General features: G+C 33.1%; 1 protein-coding gene across 8 annotated transcripts in view; it reads left to right on the top strand.

The window, feature by feature from the left end:
• Positions 1–25,157, top strand: part of GRIK2 (glutamate ionotropic receptor kainate type subunit 2) — a 676,376-nt gene that overhangs the window by 407,440 nt on the left and 243,779 nt on the right. For all 8 annotated transcript variants that reach the window (XM_047418681.1, NM_021956.5, XM_047418682.1 and 5 more), the window contains 2 exons: positions 1,184–1,291; positions 17,223–17,336. In XM_047418681.1, the coding sequence (XP_047274637.1) occupies positions 1,184–1,291; positions 17,223–17,336 (222 nt within the window). The remainder of the gene's footprint in view (positions 1–1,183; positions 1,292–17,222; positions 17,337–25,157) is intronic.

Here is a 25,157-nt window from a genome sequence, read left to right on the forward strand (position 1 = left end):
TACATTTCTTTATGCTCTCTCTACCCCAGATTTGTTCTTCTGTTTTACACTTCTATTCTTGTACTTCTTGATCTTTTTGTTTACTTTTATACTATTGTCCATTTTGGTTAGTCACTTGAAAGTTTTTCTTTGGAAGCCATTAGGCTAAAAATATTTTTTTCTTCCTTATTCCAAACCAGTGAACACATGTTTAACTTTAGCAAAGACATGTTGCAATATGTTTATGAATATGTATTAAACTTTTTCTATTTCATTTGTAATTTATTAGCTGAAAACTAAGAATCTTGCACATAAGTATCCAAATATCATATGGAGCCTCAGAAATTTAGTAATATTAATTTCAAATCCTTATTGAAATATTACCCTTAATCTACTGATATTTACTTCTTTTGGGTCTTGGTTATATTATTTTAAACATTTTAGTTGTGAGTATACATTTTATAATTGAAAATTTCTGTATTTAACTACTTTTTCCTAAGCTATTTCCAAATGACAAACAATGGAAAACATCTAATTGTGGTTCTATAACCAACAGAATGGGAAAACTTTTTACGTTAAAAAAGTCCAGATATTTACTCACCTTTTAGGGTTGAACATATTATACAGCTAGATTATTATATTCCCATCTCCTCCATGAAGTATATCTTGATATGAAGTAATTATAATACATTTCCCTTGCCCTTACTTAGTGGAAAGCTAGGGGGAATGTATATAATTGAGTTAGTATAACATAGCTTTTCCTGGATTCAGTTTCTCTTATTGTAATAAGTTCCTTTTCATGTTATTATGAATTTAGTAGTGGGATTTTATAACAGTAGTTCTAACTGTATTTGCCAGTGAGATATTTAATATCTCATACACCATAAAAAGTAACTAAATTCTTCTCACTTTAGTTAAAGAGGTACACTACTTAAAACATAATAATACAATGTCTCCTAGACAGAAAATTGTAACTGGAAAATGCATTGTATAAAATGAAAAATTTATAGTAAATTTTCTGCTGAAACTAGGATAATTTATGTAGAAAAACATTTTTCAAATTTCAGAAGAAAATTAAAATATTTTAAAAATCTCTAGCAATGTAAACTGAAAAGTAATGAATATAAGTTTCCTACTTTTGTGAAAAAATGTTTATTCCATCTTTCTTCACTTATTTATTATCAATGTTTTTCTATTCCCATAGGCACATTGGGAAGGCCTCACAGGCAGAATAACTTTCAACAAAACCAATGGCTTGAGAACAGATTTTGATTTGGATGTGATCAGTCTGAAGGAAGAAGGTCTAGAAAAGGTATTTCAGTGAGCTTATTTGCTTTAATTACTAAATGAAACATATCTCAAAGAAGACAAATATTCTCTGTTGTAGTCACATTTCATTGACATTTAACTTTATTGAGTAACTCTAAAAATAAATAGTTAATTCATTATATTGAATATAATAATTGACAATTAGGATTCAAGGATAAAGGGTATCTTAAGACAATTTTATATTTTATTTTCTAACTAGAGATTTTTCTGATGCATATAATGTTTGAAGTGCATATAATGTTAATTAGTCTTAAGGTTTAATATAGCAATTAGAAAATATTTGGTTTAATATGGGTCTTTATACATGCAGCTTATAATCACTTATGGTTGCATAGACTTTCCAACTTGGAGCAGGCCATTAAGAAATTAAATATAAAAGTATGTTTCTATTTTTTGAGTCATATTTAAGTGAAATATTTGAATTCATGTATGCACAGTAACTAGGGTATATACATAAATGTAACATACCACACTGGATCTATCTTACTTGATTTTATTGCTAGGGATTGTGGTAAAACACCCAAAGAATGTGGGTATGTGCCTACTTAATGAATATTTTAGTGTGAGTTTTCTTAAATACATAATGTATGTATTTAGATATTTTTCTGATAGATTCATTGATAATTGACAAGAGATATTAAATCTTTTTATATGTTATTTAGATGTTATTAAATCTTATTAGATCTTATTAAAATAAGAACTTGAGAAAAATTATATGTGACTGAGATAATATTGCTTTGAAGATAGTAAGCTATCTTATATTTCACCCAGCAATGAAACATGCAGCTTTATTTCTAGACAGAAACTGAAGAGGAAAGCTGAGACCTACGAAGGGCTTTCTTAGTCTGGAAGATAACAGCATATTTGAATGCTGATTCAAACCATCCAGGACAGAGTAAAATTGCATTTTTGATAGTGTCCCCAAGACAGTTTTAAATACATTATGACCAACTGATGACTCAAACTGATAGAGCTGTTACCTCCTGCCACTGAGGATTTCAAACTGTACACTTTGTGAAGACCAAGCAAAGTCAGGAATATTTTATAATAAACTGGAACCCAAATATTCATGAGACAGTCCCTTCCTAACTGTCTCACTCTCCAGATGAGAAAATTAGTCTGTGTCCAAGACTGGAGTTGATAATGGTAGAATTCAGTAAGCTCGTGAGGAGTTTATCTTACTGTTTACTGGAGATGTTATTACTTTATTTATTTATTTATGAAATATCGAAATCACTAGGAGGAATTTGGACCATTGCTGACATTTCAATACATCTGCATAAAATGGCAGTGCTCTTCATATTACCATAGATCCATTCCTGTCTTGAATTCAAAATAAATGAAACATTACAAAATTTTCTCTGTGCTCCATTGTGGCTTACAGATACGCCTGAATATAATGGTTATCAAGTACATATGATGATCTATCACACTGATAAGCAAGGTAAACCAGTGTGAGTTGTTCAGGTTGCTCTGAGATTTCATAAATATTTTATATTATTTTCTAAAATCTGAAAATTCATTTTGCTGAATTAATTATGTTCAGTCCTTATCCTCAAGGGGCTTTTCATGTACAGTGATAAGATAATACATATTTGTAAATAAATACAATCAAAAGCTATATGTTTCAAGCTTTCAAAAGACCAATAAAAATATAATTTCTGATAAAAGATATAATTAATCAAGAGTCATAGTCAATTGAGTACTTAGAATTAGCCTTTGAATATGTTGAATTATTGATTGTTAGAAAATCAGTCATTTTAGAAGGAAGTAGAAGTATGGGGAAACACAAACATAGCGTTTGATTTTATCATTACACACATACACATACAAATAAAGCTAAAATGCTAGATTTTAGTCATAACATAGATACCATGTCCAAGATATTTGCAGGGTATTAGAACACAATGTGAGTTTAAAGAAAGAATAGCCCTGAAGGCTATGGGTTACTTGGGAAGATAATATAGTTTAGAATAATTTTAGTATGAGGCCATGAATTTAAAACCATTCTAATAGGAAGTGGAGATGAGTAAACAGTTTGTGACAGAAGGCATTAACTGAACCATCAGCAATGTTGTTAGTTCAAAGACTAGCAAAGCATTTGGACTATGTTTTTAAGGAGAAATGGAGGAGCCAGGTAGGAAAAGGGAGATACCAGGGATAAAAGCATAACTCAAATATTGGAAAATGAATTAGCAAGTAGGGGAATTACTAGTAGAAATAAACTGGCATAAACCTTCCCCTGAAAAGACAGATAAGGTACCGAGGATGGGTGGAGGTAAGTTAAAGAGAAAGGGAGCAAAAAGTTCACATCACATGTTTTCAATATCCTTGAAAATTTGTACATGAACTCATCAGCTAAAGGACAGCGGTAAAGTTTAGTCGGTTCTTAAGAAAAATTGAAAATTCCATTTTGACAGACTTGATTTTGACTTAGAAGGAACAAAATGCTGCTAAGTAGCAAAAAGTCCTCATTTTAAATTTAGTAGAATAGTTTACAGCTCAAGGTCTAGATTCAGAGATATTTTGGCTCAAATTCTCACTCTGCCCTTTACTTTTTGTGGACAAATTTATTAATCTCTCTAAAACACAGCGTCTTACACTGAATCATGAGGCAACAGCAGTTATCTGCCTCATGATGACTGAGTGTTATTGACTTGACTTTTTTTCTGCCTAGAAAGTATAGTTACCAACCCATAGATGGAAAAGACAGCATCCCTACCCTGATGGAATTCACAGTTTAGAAGGGCCAATAGATGGTGATCCAAGAGGCTTGAATTTCAGTTCCAATTCTATCAAAACTAAGCATGTGAACTTCATCCTGCCACCGAACTTCTCTGTGCCAAATTCATCACCTTAAAAAAAAAAAAAAGTGCAGGGCAAAGGGCTGCCCTCTTGGACAGTCTGAAGTGAGAATACTATGGCCTCTAAAAGAACCCGGAAGTACCATCTTGAAATAAATTGATGCTAGAAATTTTAATCGTTAAAATTTAACAATTATGTTCTATCATGACTGAGAGACAAAAATAAAGAAGGAAAACATGTAAAGTGCTAGGTTTATCCCTCTTCTCATGCCTATTGCCTTTTCTTCATTCTCATTCTGTCTTGGTCATCTTAGACCAGCACACTTCATTTAGTAGGTTAATCTTCTAACAAATATGGAAGGAATGTCTGTTTTATGCCCTCATGAAGGTTATAATCTAATAGAGGAAACCTGCCAATAATAAATAGACTCATTAGACTTATAAAATTATAAGATTGGGCAGTAATAAGTGCTGAAAAGAAGGTCATTTTGTTTTTATGTCACTGACATGATAGATTTTACATAATGTTCGGAAACATGAACTTCAGGATGAAAACAGTTAACAGGAAGGAAGTCTATGCTTCTGTTGTTTACAACTGTGGAGCAGATAAACCAGGAAGAAACCAGTATGCTTCTGATGAATGGGAAAAGGTGGGCCATGCTCAAGTGTCTGAGCCTGGAGTGGAGATGGGCATCCTTTCTACTTAGATGGTGTCCATAGATCAAATGAATTCTTTCTACTCTATTATAACAGAAGCCTTAATTGGAACCCAGCCCAATTCACTGTGGTCCCAAAAAGATCACCGATACTGTATACACAGCCAGCCACTTCTGTGCAAACAAGCTCTCTGGGACCATGGCAGTGCCTTCAATGGAGGAGGGGAGGGCAAGAAGGGGGAAAGACAGTAGGTACTATTACAGACTTTGCCTAGTTCAGGCAATACTTTTGCTTATGAGAGGCTGGTATTGAGCACTCAGGAACAGGAAAAGGAAAACAGAATAAGTGATTTTCCAAGCTTGAATTCTTCTGGTCAGTTCAAGGATCATATAGTGTATTCTACTTTCAAAATATGTTTAGAATCCATTCATCTCTCACCACATCCGTTGCTGAATCATAACCATAGTACCTTTCAACTGTACAACTACATTGGAATTCCCACAAGCCTCTCTCTTCAATTCTGTTATAATCCATTCCCTAAACCACAGCAGCCAGGCAGATATTTTTAAAAGGAAATTGACCCCTGTCATCCCTCTGTTTAAATGCTTTCATAGATTCTCATTGTGTTTTGAATAAAATCCAAAGCACCAGTGACCTCTCATCATGTCATCATGTTCTCAGATATTTTCTTCTGCCCTACCTACAGAGGGTTTTTTTTTTTTTCTCATTTCCTCAAGAAAACAAAGTTTTCTTATCACTTTGGCATAGAGTAATAGAAACAGTTTTCCCAGCCAGGAATATCCATTCCCAGTTCCTTTGCCTGGGGAACTCTTACTCATCCTGGTAGTATCATCTTAAATATTACTTCCTTAGATAGGCCTCCTCTAAGTCTCTAATCAAGTTTAAATTTCTCCTAATGCTCTGCCCTTTTTAATTTCTGACTCTATCAAAGTACACAATTATTTATTCACGTGAACTTTATAAAAGGGCTATCTCCCTAGCCAGAGTGCAAGACCTACTAGATGGAAAATATATGCTCCCTTTTCCACTACTATATATTAAGGCTTTGCAAAGTATCCTTTGTCTTGAGGACAAAGTATGTACTCAAGAAATATTTGTTGACTGTTGAATGAATAAAGAATCTTTATGGAAATTATGAGATACTTCACACAGAACGCTTACTCAAGTGTCTGATGCAGAGTTATTTTCCTGTAGCACAGTTTGTTGCTTTTCCTAGCTTTGCTCTATACCTCCAACATGAGGACAGGGAAAGACAATAGTCAAGGGATCAGTGGGTTGGGGTCATGGGTCAATGTTTCAAGTGGGTAAAGGATTTTAGATTGCAGAAGGTCACCCTGAAGTCGGAAATTGTAAGGATCCACATTGCTTCAGTGGTAAATCTGGCCCCATTCATGGCACAATTAAAAACTCTCTGACCTTCCAGTATTACATTAAACAGTAAAACTCAACATTCTATTTATAAATGTTCCTTTTTTGTCCTTACAAGTTACAGTATGGAAATAAACAAAGCTCACCCAAATGAGAACAAGTGGAAGTTACTATTCAGAACTTACTACAGGAAGGGAGACAGCCTTCATCACTTGCATTAAACAGGGATTCAAAGGCAAGCAGGGGAGTGGAAAAGTTTCATAGTGGAAAGAAATGAAGACCTCAGGTGTGCTGTGATTGGAGATTGCTGGCATGAGGAAACTGGAGTTGGTCTAACAAAGCAGGGCACCTAGATAATGGGTTTTGGGGGGCACATTTGACTTTCTCTGGCTGGTTCTGATTTGGAGGGTGGCAAAAAATTGGGAAACTGGAAGTAATAGGATGAATCCTGATTGTTTTGGGTAGATTGCCTGCTGAGATTGTGTTTGGCTTCCTGAGGTGCTCACTCCAGAGCTTCTGGGTCATAGTTTGTCATCACACATGGTTTGGTCATTGTCTATTTGTGTATTCAGTCTGTGAGTGGAATTACTGAAGTAATTTGGAGGGAGAAGAATAGCAAAAATAAAAAGAAGCAGGAAAAATTTACTTGTGAGGAAATATAAAAACATCATCACCAACAATAAAATTGTTTTTTTGGTTTGTTTTGTTTTTGTTGTTTAGAATGTGTAACCAGGATGTAACTTATTGTTGGAAGTGGTTTATCCTTATTGTTCCATCACCTGAAGCTTAGCTATGTGCTTAGGAAAGACCAGCTCTAGAGGGAAGAAAACACAAAACTGATGGCATAAGATGTTACAGAAATATTCAGGAAGATCTTAGACTGTAACTTCAAAAGGATATCATTTACAGCAAAAAGAGTTGGAAGAGTTCCACACAAAATGGGTTTAGACTGAGTTGATGACATTATATAAAATAGTGCAATTTCATTGCAAGATGAGCTACCTAGAAGCCATTTTTGGGAAAACAACCACTTAAATTTAGAAAAGAATTTCCTATAGGAAACTGTAATGCAATAATAAAATCCCTGAATCTTAACTCATGATTGAATTTTCTTTTAAACTCTCCTATGTGACCACAAAGTACTTCGTGTGTTTTCCAAGAGAAAAAAGTCAGTCTTTTACTGTTACACTTTCCTGGTTATTCAAAATAATTTTTATTGTACTACAGAATATTTGTTTCTAAGTACAGGTGTAAATTAAAATTATTCTTGTGTACTTCTCTTATCCTTTTTCTAGCATCAAATTTTGCCAATCTGATTACTTTGTGGATATTCTCCTGTGTGATATTTAAATGAAAATAGACATTGGAGAATAGAATTCCCTATCTCCTCAGCAGATAGGCTCTAATAAACCATTATTAAAATTGGCTTTATGTATTAATATTATATTAACTTTGAAAAATAGAAAGGATAAAACTGATAAATTTCTTTGGACAGAAATAGTGCTGAGGGACCTTGAAGCATTTGGGACTATAAAAAACAATCACAATGTGTTTGCCCCAGCGTAGGTTTGTAATAAAATCAGATTTAGTTTGTGTATCCTTTGGGAAAATCTTAAAAAAAAATACAGAAAGACATTTTATGAAATATATGTTTGTCAATTTCTATAGTTAATAATATAAATATAAAAATAATTTGTAAATGTCTTATAAATAGTATTTATAAATAATATAAAGCAATATATTGCACATTTACACACCTCTAAAAGGTTTAAATTTGTCATATTTTACTTTCATGTGAAGCTTCATTTTAACTTTTAACACTTATGCTTTTTAAATATTTACTGCTTGCATCCACCAGTATAGAGACTAGTATTAATCCACAGACTTTTTGCTAAAACTCAACTATCTTGATAATATATGAGGAGGATAAGAATTGATAGTGAAACCCTGCCTGCCTGAGTTTACAGGCTTATGTGTTCTAGAATTAGAACATGTTTCAAAGTGCTTTTTGAATATTTTTTGTAAAGTATGTATTTTGAAGAAAAAGTGGTTATTTCTACAGAAATCTTTACTATTGACCTTTCTTTTACTTGTTGACTCCTGCCCTCATTAAACTTCATATGAAAAAGGTGCCTGAATGGAATTTAAATTTTCTGAACTTATCTAAATCTGAAAATCTACCTCAGATAGGTGAAATTTACATTAATTATAGATTTCTAGAACCGGATGCACGGCAGTTTTTATCTTCCTCTCTTTGGTGGCATTTGATACATATACCCAGTGCCCATGGCAACAGTGACCCCCAACTTGTCCAGGAACTGAGATTTATCTTGCCTTCCTCTACGAAAGCAATTTTAATGGTGATGTTAACTCGTAAACTTTAAATTAGTCAAAAAGTGATGTTTGCTTCTCTAAAAACAAAAATACTTCCTGGGCAGGATCCAAGCCTATTGCCTTTCTTTGGAGATGTTAGCCATTTAATTTGTCTAACTCTTATATAGAATTCATTATAAACCCTGTCTCAGAACTGTACCGACATTTTTGTGTGTCAGTGTGTATAGTTATTATTTTGTTTGGCAACTTTACACTTTCAGGACGATAAAATATTTCAGAAAACTATTTATGAATGATGTTTATGTTTAGAAATCAATCAGATTGCCTTATTTGAGGTCACAGAATTTATTGTTTTGGTTCCCAAAAAGTCTTATTTTGGCCCACCAATGAATATTAAATATTGGCTTTTTTCTTTTAACCACTAAATTTGAATTAACATATATATATGTATAAATTACAATTATGATATATATAACATAATTGTAATTGATTGATTTGATTTCAAATCAAATCAAATCTGACCTACATTTTTATCTGTGGAAAAATGGCTTTTAACTGAATGGTATCGTATTTTCATATTTGGGAACATGTAATTCATTAATTCAAACATTATTTAAAAAATCAAAATCACAACCTGTCTGTTAACTCTTTAATTGTGCTTAGCATTAAATTGCCCTAAACTAAAATAAAAATCTTAAATGAGAAAAATCAGTGTTTAGTTAGATTATTAATTCCTTTCCATGAGATGATTATATACTTACTGATTTATTGTACTCATATTAGCACTATAGTTCTCGAATGGTAAAATCCGAGATCCTATGCACACTAGTTGAGAGTTTCAGGACGCTGATTACGAAAGCGTTCTTTGCCCTATCCTTATAGGCCAATTAACTTATATCTGAAGGTCAGCCAATTTCCAGACAATTGCTCTGGACTCAAATTCTAGCTGGCAGGAAGCACATAGGCTTTGCTGTAAAATATTTCTTTTTGTTTTCTAGAGCTCAGGTGCCAATGCTTAAGTGCTCTCTTTTCAACACTTAGTTCAATGGAAGTAAACAGTTATTAAACTTCGGTGTCAAGGGTTATTAGACGGTAATGCAACTAACTATCTCTACTTTTCATTTAACTATTCATCATTTGAAGGAGTGAAGTAAGGAAAACAAAAGTCTCTAATTTCCCACTAATAGTGAGAAAACTAATCTGTTGAAAAAAATTTCTGTACCCAATATTCATGCATTGTATTGGCTTGAGAAACCCAGGTTTTCAGAAATAATAGGTATATGAGTTAATAGAGAAATAAACAGTCCACTAGTGTATATTCAGTCAATTGCAGGAAACATCTTTCATACGTAAATCAGCATTTAATATAAATCTCTTTCTTATGCTTTCTATTTCTCAATTCCCTCAAACAGTACTATCGGGGTGCCAACTTTTTTCCAAGGGAAGTAGTCAATATACTTCAAGGAAAACTATACTTTGTAGGTCATATGGTTGGGGGCAACTCATTACTGGAAAGAAATTTCTTTAAGCAAACATATTCTAAGATGGAGAGTCTGCATTGTGCTAAGACTGTTGGAAACCCATGTACAGTGTGGTTTCTCATTATCATCACACAGGATCTCTGTGGAAAACTATGGCTTATATTCTTTATTCAAGGCTGACACATTCTCCTGACATTAAGTCAAAACAATGTACAATCAAATAACTTTCTTTTTTACATTTTTACATTGTTGTCTAATGGAAAACTATATTGCTTCTTTTTCCATCTACCAACATCCAGTGAATATTTTGTGAGTCAATGCCAGTAAGAAAGTATAAAGAGAATTTTGATAGATTTGTATCAGGTATTTTTTAGTGGAGAATTTAAATTATTTCTTAATTTAAAATAAATTTAACTTTATTTGGAACTAATATTTTTAAAACTAACTGGGAATGTTTATTTTGTTCCTACTTGAAAAATTTCTTGTATACATATCAAGCAAATTATTTCCATAAATTTCATAGAAAATAAGAAATGTGTGACATTGATCCGGTGTACACAAAACAGAGCTAACATGCATCTTTAGAAGAAAAGATGCTACTTTCAGAGGTTAACAATTATATAGCCCAATAGAGGAAATAGAAACATTTTTTGGATTTAAAGTAGTAATATGAGTTACAAAACAAAATTTGTACTGAGAAAACTGTCACCAAAAATAAACAAATAAACAATAAAGAAGCAACTAATTAATAAGATAAATAATTTAAAAATTATTCTGAAAACTGTTGTTTTCTACCTAGAAAAAAATACACAGAAACCAAAGAGAAAATATACTTATAAAACAAAATTATATGAATAATTTACACATTCCTGAAAAACAAAACCTATAGTGTAAAATATTTATTTAAAATACTTATAAAATATAATTAGGAAAAAATGGAAATTCATAGTAAAGGTATGTGGCATAATATTTCAAACATTAAATATGATATTGAGATAGATCTTAAAACATTAAGAATAACACAAAAAACATGAAGATAAAATATGGAAAACAAAATATGTAATTATAAAAGAATAGACACATATGTATGTTCAACATTTGCCAAATGAATGAATGATATTGGAAAGTCAACCAAAAAAGTCTGAAAGTTTTTATCATGGAGTAATTCACTCACTTACTCTATTTATTTATTCAATAAATATTCATTGGATATTTATTATATAATTTAAAGATTGATGAAATGTTTCGTTTTGTGAAGGCACTTAGAGTTTAACACAGCAGGATCAATAAAAATGAAATATAATTTGGATTCAAAGCAATACATAAGTGGCATTTCTGAGATGAGGAAAATAAAACATTTATTTCTGTTCAATAAATATTATTATTTATGTTCAATAAATAAAACGTTTATTGGTTATATAACCAGTATGTTCAGAGATCTCACATATAAAGCCCGTAGGATGTCCTATATTCAAAGGCCTTGGGGTAAAAAGATGAGTATGCCAAAGTCTCCATCCGTAGGGAATTAGTTTTTACTAGACAGAGATAAGTAAACAGTTAAAATATAATATGATACTTATTGTAGTAAGTAAAAGCATAACTAAATTGCTGTGTATGGAAGCGTAATAAACGATCATCCATTACTGCACAGAGGAGGAATTGTTTTACCTATATTTTGAAACAGTAATTAAGATACATGCATAAGGTAGTGAAAAGGGAAAGAGTACACCTTCTATAGAAGACATGAGGACACAAATAATTGAGAACTACAAGATGCAACAAAGTCTATGTTCAGAAAATGGAGAAATGCATTATATTTCTGACAATTTAAGAAAAGAACCATTGTTTCTCTCTCTTTCTACTCAGTCTTTAGGTAACATATTTTGCAAAAAGTTCATATATACATGATATACACATCCGTATATAACATATACATAAATGCTATGTATGCATATACATAAATGTACTATATATAGAGATACATGCATACATCTACATAGACATATGTAAACATCCACATATACACACACACACACACACATATACACACACATATGTACTTGTTGAGATTTAATATTTCCAAATGATAATACTGAAGACTTTCAAGAAAAAATATTCACCAATAGCAAAATACATATGAGGTAGCTCTCAGTCTTTTTGAGCAACATTAATACTAGAGAAAAATGAATAAAACTTAGCTCTGAAGGAAGACGGCTCTGATATAATAGGTCTTCATTTAGCTAAGTTTTCTTTATATAAGAAGGCAGCAAAAATACCTTTAAGTCTGCAACCATAAAAGTATGTCACATAATTATCTTTTATAATAAATTATCTTGTGTAAGTACAATGATAAGTGAAAAGCAAATACTCAGAAGAAACTGTGGCTAGATATCCTAGTAAACATCAAATTCAGTTAAGCACAAAAAAAGATAGTTTTGAATAATGACTTTACAAATTATATCAAAATTACAACCTTTTCCTTGTAGCAAAATAATTCATAATACACAAAGCAAAATAAAGAGAGGCAGTGTTTACAACCCCACATTAAATTAACTAAAACCGGCTGGGCACGGTGGCTCATGCTTGTAATTTCACCACTTTGGGAGGCCAAGGCAGGCAGATCACCTGAGGTCAGGAGTTCAAGACCAGCCTGGCCAATATGGTGAAACCCATCTTTTCTAAAAATATAAAAATTAGCTGGGCATGGTAGTGGGTGCCTGTAATCCCAGCTACTTGGGAGGCTGAGGTGGGGAGAATTGCTTGAACCCAGGAAGTAGAGGTTGCAGTGAGCCGACATTGTGCCAGTGCACTCCAGCTTGAAGGACAAAGCAAGCTCCATCTCAAAAAAAAAAAAAAATGTTAACTAAAACTGTGAATCAGTATGTGTGGCAGCAGAATGGGACAAAGCATAGATAATTTTCGTAGAGTAGATATTTCAATTTTTATGGCTGAATATTCGTTTTTCAGCATGATAGTAATATTTCAAACAGAAGCTGATAATACACATTAGTAGACTTAAATGTATTTTATCTCCCAATTACCATAGGAAAATTTCCAGGAGTAGAAAGTAAATAATAAACACCAAACAATGTGAAAGGAGCAAGGCTAAATAAAGATAAGATTCAGTAAGAGAAAAAGTTAGGACATTGAAAAAATCTACTAAGGCACTAATTATAAAAAAATCCAACAAAATGAGAAATATGTTGAAAGTGAAAATATATATAATGATTTATCAGCAAATGCAAAGAAACAAATAATGGAGGTAAAGTAAGTGTGATTAATAATATATATTGAGAGTTTACGTAAAACAAAGTAATTGAAATAAAAACAGTTATTTTTATCAATAACACCATCTACAGTTAAAAGACTTGACAATTATAAACCTTTATAATATAATCTGATGTTATTCAAACTATTAAAAGCTAAATTGTTATACAGTTGTCTTATGGAAACTACCATGAACTGTAAAGGGAAAGATAACAAGTAGAGAAATTATTTTGGAAAGTTATTTGGCAACATATAGTAATAATCTTAACAACTCAGATTATCTGTGCTCAGTCATTCTAATTCTAGAAATCTGTTTTTAAAATGATAAAATGTGTGAACAAATATTTATAAATAAATGTGTTTACTAAGGCCTTGTAACAATGATAGTTGAATCACGATATGTTCATATGATCATTTTGTGTAGTCATTATAATTATGGATTTGATTATCTTTGGTGCCAGGAGAAAATGCTCACAATAGTGTATAAACAGAATATAATTAGTAATTGTCATAATTATAGCATACTTATAAACACACTATGTTGAATACTTTTTCATTTAATCACACTATGTTGAATACTTTTTCATTTAATCTTCACTATAGTTTATGAAGTAGATACTATTATTTCCCATTTACAGATGGGAGAATTGTGACACAAAGAAATAATGTACCCGAGTCACCTGATGTTAAGTGGTGGACATAGGATCCTGGCAGTCAAATACGCTGTCCATAAAAGCTGGGCCATTAACAACAAGGCTATGATGGAAACTGTGCAAGGAATGTGTGTGGAAAGACAAATGACAGGAAAAAATAGGACCACAATATTAACCATGATTGACTCTGGGTGTATTCATAGGATCAAAGTTTAAATTGATCTTCTTCTTATATCTTCTGCATATTTTATAATCTCATGACAATTAATATGCATTCTTTTTCTGACCACAAGAAGAAATCAAAGAGCCAATCAGAACATAAAATAAAAATGAATAAAATCATAATTTTCTATAGCTCCTTATGACTTTTGAAGCACTTTCATATTTCTTGTATCTAATTGAATCCTTATAATTAGAATGGCCCTATAATTTATTACACAAATCATGATATTTTTTATTTGTACAAGAGGGTATTATTAATGAAAACAGTACCTGGGCAAACCAGGATGTAGAGTCACCATATATAAAACAATTCTGTAAGGTCAACAGTGCTTAAGCATCTTAATTGCGTTTCAGAGCTAAAAAAAAAAAAAAGTATTTCAAAGGCTTGATCAAGTCATATGACAAAATAGTGGTTCCCGAATAGACAAAAATAGATTGCTATCACTTTGTCCATGTTTTTTGCCATTAAAACAAAACAAAACCTCTGGTGACAATTTCCTCAATGGAAGAAAGTTTTGAATCATGTAGTTGACAATCTAGGAATATCTAAAATTTTATTTGACTTAAAATATTAAAGCCACTGATATTTCTGAAATGTCATAATATTACGCTAAGAAAGCTGAGATTTACAAAAGAGGATAACTAATACTTGTGAATATAGGAAATTGTAGATTCATGTAATATTCATCTGTGTCAGAACTCCAAAAAAACTAGAAAAGCAACTAACCAATAATGAAACTAGAGAAGTATTTTCAGATGGTAAGTTGAGTGAACATTTAGCTAAATTATTTTTATAAAAGTAATAATGGAGGGTGGCATTATGTGAAATGGGAAATTCTTTGTATTAGTTACTTGGTTAGAAAGTTGAAAACTTTCTAAGGTTTTATTAGATAGACGACAGTGAACAAATGATGTTTGTCAGTGGTTTCACTGGTAGCATTACACATCTGAAAATCTTAGCTATTTTGCCAATTTATATTAAAAAAAAAAGTAAAATCTAAGGGAACAAATGCATGATAGGTATTAATTATGGACCAGGTATAGAAAAGTGACAGTCATTCACTGCAAAATACTATCTGCAGATGTGTCTTGTTTAGCCAAGAGTATTTGCAAATGATTTTAAATTTGAAACACTTTGGCCGGGCACAGTGGCTCACGCCTGTAATCCCAGCACTTTGGGAGGCCAAGGCAGGCGGACCATGAGGTCAAGAGATCGAGACCAAACTGGCCAACATGGTGAAACTAAAAATACAAATACAAAATACTAAAAATACAAAAATTAGCCGAGCGTGTTGGCGGGCGCCTGCAGTCCCAGCTACTCGGGAGGCTGAGGCAGGAGAATTGCTTGAACCCGGGAGGCAGAGGTTGCAGTGAGCAGAGATTGCACCATTGCACTTCAGCCTGGTGACAGAGCAAGACTCCATCTCAAAAATAGATAAATAAATAAATTAATTAATTTTTAAAAAATTAAATAGTTTAAGCAGGTCAACAGGCATTCTAGTTTTGACACCCCTCCATCCTTCCCTACCCAGGTCCCCAGCAGGCCCTCTACTAGCCCTGGTGGTGCCTTACCGGAAACTCAACTAAAGCACCTGCTCTGGGAACATGCAGCCCCAAGGCACACAGCTGTTGGAAAAGCAGGATTGGGATTGTGGCCCCTCCTTTCTACTGTGTCTTGACATTTTGTGAGATTTAAAAATTGCACATACTTGCATAGAAATTCTTACTACGGCCCTGTACATTATCATGTTTCACATTGATATGACCGGCTTGGCTCCTGAAGCCTTTCATTATTGACTCTGAAATAGAATTAGGCTCCATCTTTAGGACATTGTCATAAGCATAGTCTAATGTAAAGAAATGTAAATTGGCCAGTAGGTGGTTTAGTTTGGAAAGAATACTGAATTACTTGACTTTTTCCTTCCTAACACCAACATCAGGAATATACAGAATTTAATGGTGAGAGGAAAATTAACTCCATATGAGGAAATATGGCAAAGAGATTATGCTGATGGGACCTTTGTTAGCATATTTAGTTAGAACAGAGTAAATAATACCTGCTAAATCAATGCCATTTTAAAAAGACTTAATTTATATACAAAGACTTATTTTAAAGATAATTTGATAGTTTTCCTTTTCTTTGAGAAAAATAAGTTGGATACTTGTCTAGGAGAGTATGGAAGACAAATTTTGTTATTGATTACTCCTGGGTATGAGACAGTGAGGAAAAAGAACTGATTTCACATCTTCTTTTGCCTCTGCTCTTCCTTGCTGCTGATCATTGTTATATGATAGTGCAATGGTATAAGTGTCAATAAACCATCTAATGAATGCATTTTGTGACATCCTGTGCTTACGTGTTTCTTCTGGAGGCTTATCTGCATTATCTCATAGTCTGTGTTCAGTGAATACAAAATGTCTAAACACTGTGAGTATATGACCTAATCTATCAGAAGATATTAGTTAAATTAAAATTCATATTAAATGGATCACAGAAGAAAGTATTGGAATGTGTTATTCAGATCAGATTTTACTGTCTTCTCCTTTCTTGGGAGCACTTTAAAAGGTGCAAAGATGCGTTTTTAAATCTCCAAAGATAATTCTGGGCATGGTCTTATCCCACCAGGGGTAGTGCAAAATACTATTCAATGCTTCCCTTAAGCCTACCTTTACCTATTAATTTATCTTGGATCCCTAGATTTTGCGCTGTCTTTTAGCTTTGTCTGTATAATATGGCATGTTATCTTTATGAGAGGATGAAATAGATCCATTACAGTAAAAGATGTATGCCATTAATGAGTTTCTAGCCAGCTATCAAGGTATCATCAAATGTGGTTTATCTTGGTGAATGAAAGCTTGAATGGAAAATTAAGCTCCCACACTGACTGGAGAAGTTCAGTGGATCGTTTTGTTCTTTAATGTTACACTTCACTGAACACACTTCACAGAGCCGTGAATCATGCTTTAAACAAGCTGCCTTTACTTTAACGGCAGCAGACAATGCAGCAAAGGTGAATAATAAGTGTTAGCAATCTTAACTTTCTTTTGCAGTACTCTCTACCACGTGCCTGATGGACAATTTACAAAGTACATATGCTATTTTATAGATTGGAACGTGGGATCCAGCCAGTGGCCTGAATATGACAGAAAGTCAAAAGGGAAAGCCAGCGAACATCACAGATTCCTTATCCAATCGTTCTTTGATTGTTACCACCATTTTGGTAAGTATTTGCTTTTCCATTATTCTTAGTTAAATGTAGATGAACACAGAAGTGCATAGAAAAGGACATTATAATTGGAACAGCAATGAACAGAATGTATTTTACAGTTATTTAGCAATTACTGTACAACAGATGAGTCAATGTTAATTTAGTCACAGTTTTGTTAGTCTTAAATGATCTAAATTGTATTAACGTTTGGGCTGTTTATGTTGACTAATAATACAGCTTAATGTATTACTGGAAATCTTTTCATTTTTCCAAAATTAGTTACTATTGAGGAATTGTCAATGTCAAGACTTGAAAAATACGTGCAGCTCTATAAATATAGTTAAGTGATGAGCCAAAAGTGAACTTTGCTTCTGCTTTTATTTTCCGCAAATATATTTCATAGGGCATGGCACTTATTTTTCAGAATTTTTTCTCATTATAATTATATTTTAACTTTATTTTCAATTTTATTGTTTTCATCTTGGAAAATTAATTTTACTTTATGAATTTCCCTAATGTAACCAAATGGCAAGTGCTTTTTAAAGCCAGAAATATTTTCAGCACTGACAGACTTAATATTGTTAAGCTAGATGTTTTTACCCCTCTTATATTTATTTATATCTTTTAATTAGATCACACAGTAATGTTCGCTTATGCCCACTATGTCATTTGCAAAAGGGAATTTTAATTTAGGATAAGCAAATAGCTCTTACATTATTTAGTCAGTACTTTTCACCTACCAAATAAGCTTATCAATGACCATTCTTATTAATCCTCAGGTAGTCAGTAAAAATTGAGAGTAATATCTAGAACAAACTACCATGAACATTTAGCATTTATATAATTTCTAAATTTGATTTATGGTGGGAAATCAAGCTATGAGGAATATATATTCTTGCCCCTTTAGTAGCAACGAGGGATGTCAGATCTGTAGGCATGTCAAAATGAAGTAGCTTGGGTTAAAGCCTTTTGATAATGAAGCAAAGCTGATAATCATGAAGTGACAGTGATGAAAGTCATAAAGTTTTTAACCAATCTGTGGCTAAGGACCTCAGTGGATACTCGCTCTCTCTGTCACATCCAAACGTCTAAGACACCCTTTTACTTAATTTTCTATCTTCCTTTCTTTTCAAAGATAACTCCCATACCCACCAACCTAGCCCTCTTCTTCAGTCAAAATGTTCTCACAGTACAATTACACATCCTCTTTCTGATCTACATGCCACTATGTTCTGGATCTCATTACTTCCTGTTGGGACTATTGCAGTAGCCACGTAACTATTTCTTCTGCCTGTGGCTTTCCTCCTTTGCAGTGCACCCAAGTCCCACCATAAAAGTCTAATTCTGTTCCAGGCAAATGGTGACTGCTTGAACAAGGACAACATCAACAACAACAACACAACAACGACAATCTAATCCTGTCATTTCTCTACTTCTTTGTTATACAGATTGTTAGAGAATCCTTATTGACCATTAAAAAGCCAACAAATTTAAATTTTTATATATAGGGTCCTCTATGGTCTTACTCTCTCTCACCTTTTTATCTTCACTTCCCATTATTTTCTTTCAGGAACCGTGTGTTTTAATTGAATTGGGATAACCAGTTAGCCTGCTACATAGTTTTGTGAATGCTCTTCCCTTGCTCTGCAATATGCTTATCTCAATTTCTGAGATATAGTATTCATCAGTAATATATGACTTAATATTCATATTATGCTATTCTTATTTCATGTGTGCATTATTTTCCCAAATATCACTAAACATTCCTTGGAGGAATAGAATTAGATTATGTCTTCTGTTTCTATACCATATGTACCTCTGCAATGATCATAGGATCAATAATTCTGGGTAGAAAACATCTGTAGCCTTCAGTAATCTGGCCCCTACACTCCTTTCTATCATCTTCCTGATCTAGCCAAATTCCTCAAAACATCACTTATTTTATGGCTCCAAATCTTCGCTCAATTCTTCTTCTTCTCCTCCTCCTTCTTCTTCGATGGAGTCTTGCTCTGTTGCCAGTCTGGAGTGCAGACTCATGATCTCGGCTCACTGCAAACTCCACCTCCCAGGTTCAAACGATTCTCCTGCCTCAGCTTCCTGAGTAGCTGGGACTACAGGCGCGCTACCACTCCTAGCTAATTTTTGTATTTTTAGTAGAGATGGGGTTTCACCATATTGGCCAGGATGGTCTCGATCTCTTGACCTCGTGATCCGCCTGCCTCAGCCTCCCAAAGTGTTCGGATTATAGGCGTGAGCCACTGCACCCAGCCTGCTCAATTCTTCTTTATGTTCTGCAGTAAAAATCCTATTCATTTTCTTGTATCCATCTCAAATGCTACCCACTTCATGAAAATCTTTGACAGCTCCATTAAGTTGCCTGTGTCTTGGGGAGAAGGAGGAAGTTTGTATACTTTATGTACCAGAATACTCCATCATGGCATTATCATTTTTTTAATTAAAAAACTATGTATGTTTGTGTTTCCACTTGACATAAGCTCTATAATCAAATTTTACACTTTCTGATTTCTCAATGTCGGAGAAAAGTGCCTTGGGTATAGCAAGAGCTCAATAAATATTTGTCAAATTAAATTAAATAAATGATATTTAATTAAATGGGAAATTAGACGAAGTACAGAACTTTCAAATGACTATATTTAAATATTTTTCAAGTGTGCAGGTTATTAAAATTATCTAGTACAAATAAAGCAGGTGATTAAGAGTACCCATATAATTTCTCAATCTTGCTTCAGTATTCAGTGTTATTTTTTGAGAAGTGTTCAGATATTGCTTCTCAATCATAATCAAGTTTATATCTCTCTATGAAGAAGTGGTATCTAATTTTATCTTCATATCAGAGTCAGCTCTAAAGCTTTAATAAATACACTAATGCCTAAAACGTACCCCATACCATTTGAAACAGTATTTCTGGACTTTGAATCTTGGACACTTTGATTTTTTTAATTTTCACAGGTAACACAAATCTATAACCATGATTAAGAACTATAGCTCAGATTATTACTCCATATGAATAAGATGTAAGATCAACTATGGAAGATGCACTAAGCTCTCATTTTAATAAACAGGTTATTTATATTTTAGAGTATGCCAACTACTTGTTTCTAAAAGATCCTAATATTTCCTAAAAGGATAAAATAAGGCACTTTATTTTTATACCTTTTAGTTAAAAAAAAATTCCTTTTTCTGAATACTCTGACTTCAACATATCCATAGTCAAGTAAAGAACAGATTTGAAGAGATTATGTACCTTATTTATGTAAGCTTATTTTTGATGTAATTTACTGGTATTCTATTTGTATTTTTGGAGAAATTATGATTTTTTGATTGATGTTATGATTATTTTGCCCTTTTCTCTTGAAATATCTTAGAGGAAATTCTGGCTACATTATGAATAATGACATTTCTCCCATATCCCTATCATGGGAAGGAGATACAAGGAGATGTTAACTTGTGCTTCTTGTTCAACATTTTTATTACGTGTCTTTAAAAAATGATGAGGTATTCTGGAATTCAGCACTATCCACAAGCTAATTATAATCAGCTCTATTTCTCATGAATTCTATTCATTCACTTATTTAATTTTATTCATTATTTTATTTGATGAATATGTATTGAATAATAATGATATACTAAGCACTGTATTTAAAGCTAACAAAATAGACATGATCGCTTCCCTTATTGAACTTAGAAAATGGCAGGAATTCATATGGAGAGTTTTACACACACACACACACACACACACACACACACACACAAACACATACAACTTATAATTAAGATATAAAAGAAAAGTAAATGATACGGTGCCTTAATATACAGGGTAATTTTGAGTTATACTAGATGTCAGGAGTGGAAGGGCAAGTCAGGTTAGGACTCACAGTAGAAGAATAGACAGCTGAGACTGAGAGTTTGAGGAGGAATTAGCAAGGTGAAGAAAGGGCAAGGGAGTATTCTAGGCGAAGAGAACAGCATATTCAAGCATCCTAAAGCGGGAAAGGGCTTGGAAAATTTTGTGGAATTGAAAGACCATTATGACTGGTGCTAATGCCTCGATCTGCTTCTCAGCTGCTTCCAGTATAAATGTATGAATATGGTCCACTACAAAAAATCATAGCAGACATGTATTACATGCCTACTGTGTCCCAGACATAGTTTGAAACACTATCCATGGATTTATTCGTTTACTTGTAATAATAAACTTTTGAAGTAGACACTATTAGCACCATTACTTATTTATAGTATTATATATATATTTTTTCTTTTTTTTAGGTTAGAAAGCTGATGTTTATACAGCCTAAGTATTTTACTCATGGCCATACAACTAGAAGGTGGAGTAGTTGTAGGGTTTCAACCAATCTGTTTATCCAACCTGAGCAGCTGATACTATAAAATGAAAATTCTAGTGGTCAAATATAGAAAAGGCTAACACTTATAGTTTATGATCAAAATAGCATCTTGATTGATAATTATTTACCTAAAGCAATGTTTCTCATCCAGAAGTCCCACATATGCTAGAACTTTGTGATGCCCTTAGAGATGTGCCTCCAAATATCTAAACATTTTTTCTCTACGGAGAACATTATTTAGGCTACTCTTGCGTGAATATGTTGGGTTTCTAGTCTCTGCACTCCCCTCATTTAGTACTTAGTTTTCTTTTACTCTCTTTAAACTATAATCTCAGATTCTCCTGGGCAATCAAGACGGTATAGGAGCTCACTTCATTTTTTCTCTTAAGAATTGCAATGTTTACACATGTTTTTACTCCACTTTAATAACATGACCTAGACCCAGTACATTGTACGGGTACAGTACATAGTTGTATTATGCAGTAAATTTACATAGAGAGCATTAAACATTTATTTTATATATTTTTTTATTTTTGAATTAAGATTTATGATATAAAATTGGAGATTTATGGATCGTCAACTACAGGTCTATGCCTAAAGCTCAGCTCTATTTATGCCCTAATTTTATTGTTTGTGATTTTCCATATTGCCTCTTTCATCTTTGAATTTCAAGTTCGGTTGTTGTTAAAATTCTCTGTTTTTTTGTGTTTATCGTTATTAATGGAACTAGAACTATTATCTTTCAAATTATATTTTCATTTATGATGATTTTATTTATTGCATAGAGGTTGTTAAAATATGAGTTCCTAATTGTCAAAAATAATAACAAAAATACAATTTTTGAGCAAGTAGTAGAGAGATTTTAAAGTATAACGTGCTAAACCTTCAGTTTGTAACCTGGTCTTGTTGCTGCTGCTGTTAGCTATGGGAAGTATCAGGGGACTAAGTATTATTTTATTTATTTGTTTGTTTATTTCTATGGGTTTTCGGGGGAACAGGTGATGTTTGTTTACATGAGTAAGTTCTGTTTTTTTTTTTTTGTTTTTTTTTTTGATGGAGTCTCGCTCTGTCGCCCAGGCTGCAGTGCAGTAGCATGATCTCTGCTCACTGCAACCTCCGCCTCCCATGTTCAAGTGATTCTCCTGCCTCAGCCTCCTGAGTAGCTGGGATTACAAGCACTGCCACCATGCCTGGCTAATTTTTTGTATTTTTGTGGAGATGGTGTTGTATTTTTGTAGAGACGGTGACCATGTTGGTCAGGCTGGTCTTGAACTCCTGACTTGTGGTGATCTTCCAGCCTCGGCCTCCCGAAGTGCTGGGATTACAGGTGTGAGCCACCATGCCCGGCCATGAGTTAACTCTTTAGTGGTGATTTGTGAGATTTTGGTGCACTCATCACCCAAGCAGTATATACCGTACCCAATTTTGCAGTCTTTTATCCCTCACACCCCTCTTGCCCTTTCCCCTAAGTTCCCAAATTCCATTGTATCATTCTTATGTCTTTGCATCTTCATAGCTTAGCTCCCATTTATGAGTGACAACATACAGTGTTTGGTTTTCTATTCCTGAGTTACTTCACTTAGAATAATGGTCTCCAATTATTCAAGTTAATATAGGAAATGCCTACTTTTTCCTCTAAATTCTTAGTTTTCGATAGACATTTTTCACTCCTGTCTGACTATGTTGAGTGTTTCTCATTGTGCTATGCCTGTATAATAATTAATTTTTGTCCATCAAAAGATTAGTAGCATTTAAATGCTACTGCACATGTTCCTTCTTTTGTTGACTAGTAACACTTTAGCATACAAATGACTATGCATTTGGTTACTTTTTCAGAAAAGCATTTATTGTCAAGGAGATTCCTTCTCCCCAGTGGCTCAGTGAATTTAACAAATGTACTTGCTCCTGAAAACTTAGTCGTATTTTTTATTTTCCCAGTACTTTGTGGAAGGTATTACAGTATCCACTTTACTTGCTTAAGCTTGTAAAGCTTTTGTGTCACAGCCCACAGATACGGAAGGCTTACTGGGAAGCAAATTTCCAATGACAATTGAAAAGTACACAGTACAAAAGAGAGAAGTGACCGAATTATCCCCTAAGTGGTTCTGTAGCTTCTTCTATAATATCAACAAAAGCAGTTTTTTTCTAAGGCTTCAAATCTGCCACTGCAATAAGTTTTCCCTCTGATTCTCGTCTTTCCATTGTGGTAGAAGGACTGTCAAGCATGAAGTTCTTAGAGAGTTGCATAGCATTTGGGCTTGGAAACCCAGACACTGCAACTTCACAAAGAAGAAAAATATTTTCCTTCTCAGCAATCTCAGTCACATATTAAAATGCGAGATAAGAGTGACTCATTCAAACTAAAGTCTTCTCCAACCCCATTCCTACAATCAGCTTGTTCAGACAACCACACTTTTTCTCACCATATTTTTTCTTCTATTTCAGAGATTGTGCTGGTACTACATTTCTCTCTTTCATTCTTGCTCTGATAACTCAGTGTGTTTTATTTCAAATGTATTTTATTTCTCATATTTTCAGAGACTTCCACAAAGCTAGTCAAATATAAAACTATTGATGGTGGTAGAGAAAGAAGAAATAAAGAAAGTCATGAGTTTTGATGTAAAATTAGGTATAATTTTGAAAATCCTAGGGTCTTAATTTCTAAAGCCTTCTAAGTGCCAGAACCTCATTTTTTACTTCATATACACATTCTTTTTCCTTTGTCCTTTATTAAATCTGACTTAAATTAACTACCATGATGAAGACTTATAAGCAGTTTTGCCTTTATGTTATTTTTTATTCCAAACATTATTGTCCATACTATAAAATTGACAATTTTATAATTGTCAATACTAAAATGGTTGAAGACTATTTTATTATGATCAGTATATTAAGTTTTGTATAAAAGAATGAATAGAAAAATCTGAATTTTGAATTCAGCTCAGCCACTAGCAAAATATGTGAAAATGAAATATTTTTGCCTTAACATTCTCATTTTTTTAGGAAGATGTTATCACAATAGGACCATATACACTTGTACAATCTGAATTTTAGCTACAACCTTGAACTGAGATTCAAATGTAAATTTGCAATTACTTACTGGACATATATCCACTTAGATATACAGTATCATGCTCCACATGCATCAAACCTCCTTCTTTGATTCAGGACTCACAATGCTGATTTTGCCTATATTTTCAATCTCTATTTATGATTCCAGTACCTTTCTATTCACCCCAGCCAGAGGTGTGTTTTCTTAGATTCCTCAGTCCCTTTAAAACCCATACTCACAATTCAAGTACCTAAAGGAGAAAGAGTAGATTATTCTAAGAAAGTTCAACAGAGAAGTAATCAAGAACATTTTGAACAAATGAGATATGATTTGTTCATGGGTACTACTGAATGGGTGATTATTTTTAGAGTCTGCTTTGAGAGGCACTGTACTTATAGGAAAGAGGAAAGAGATGGC

The sequence above is a fragment of the Homo sapiens genome, chromosome 6 (assembly GCF_000001405.40).
Source record: "Homo sapiens chromosome 6, GRCh38.p14 Primary Assembly".
NCBI classification, from domain to species: domain Eukaryota; kingdom Metazoa; phylum Chordata; class Mammalia; order Primates; family Hominidae; genus Homo; species Homo sapiens.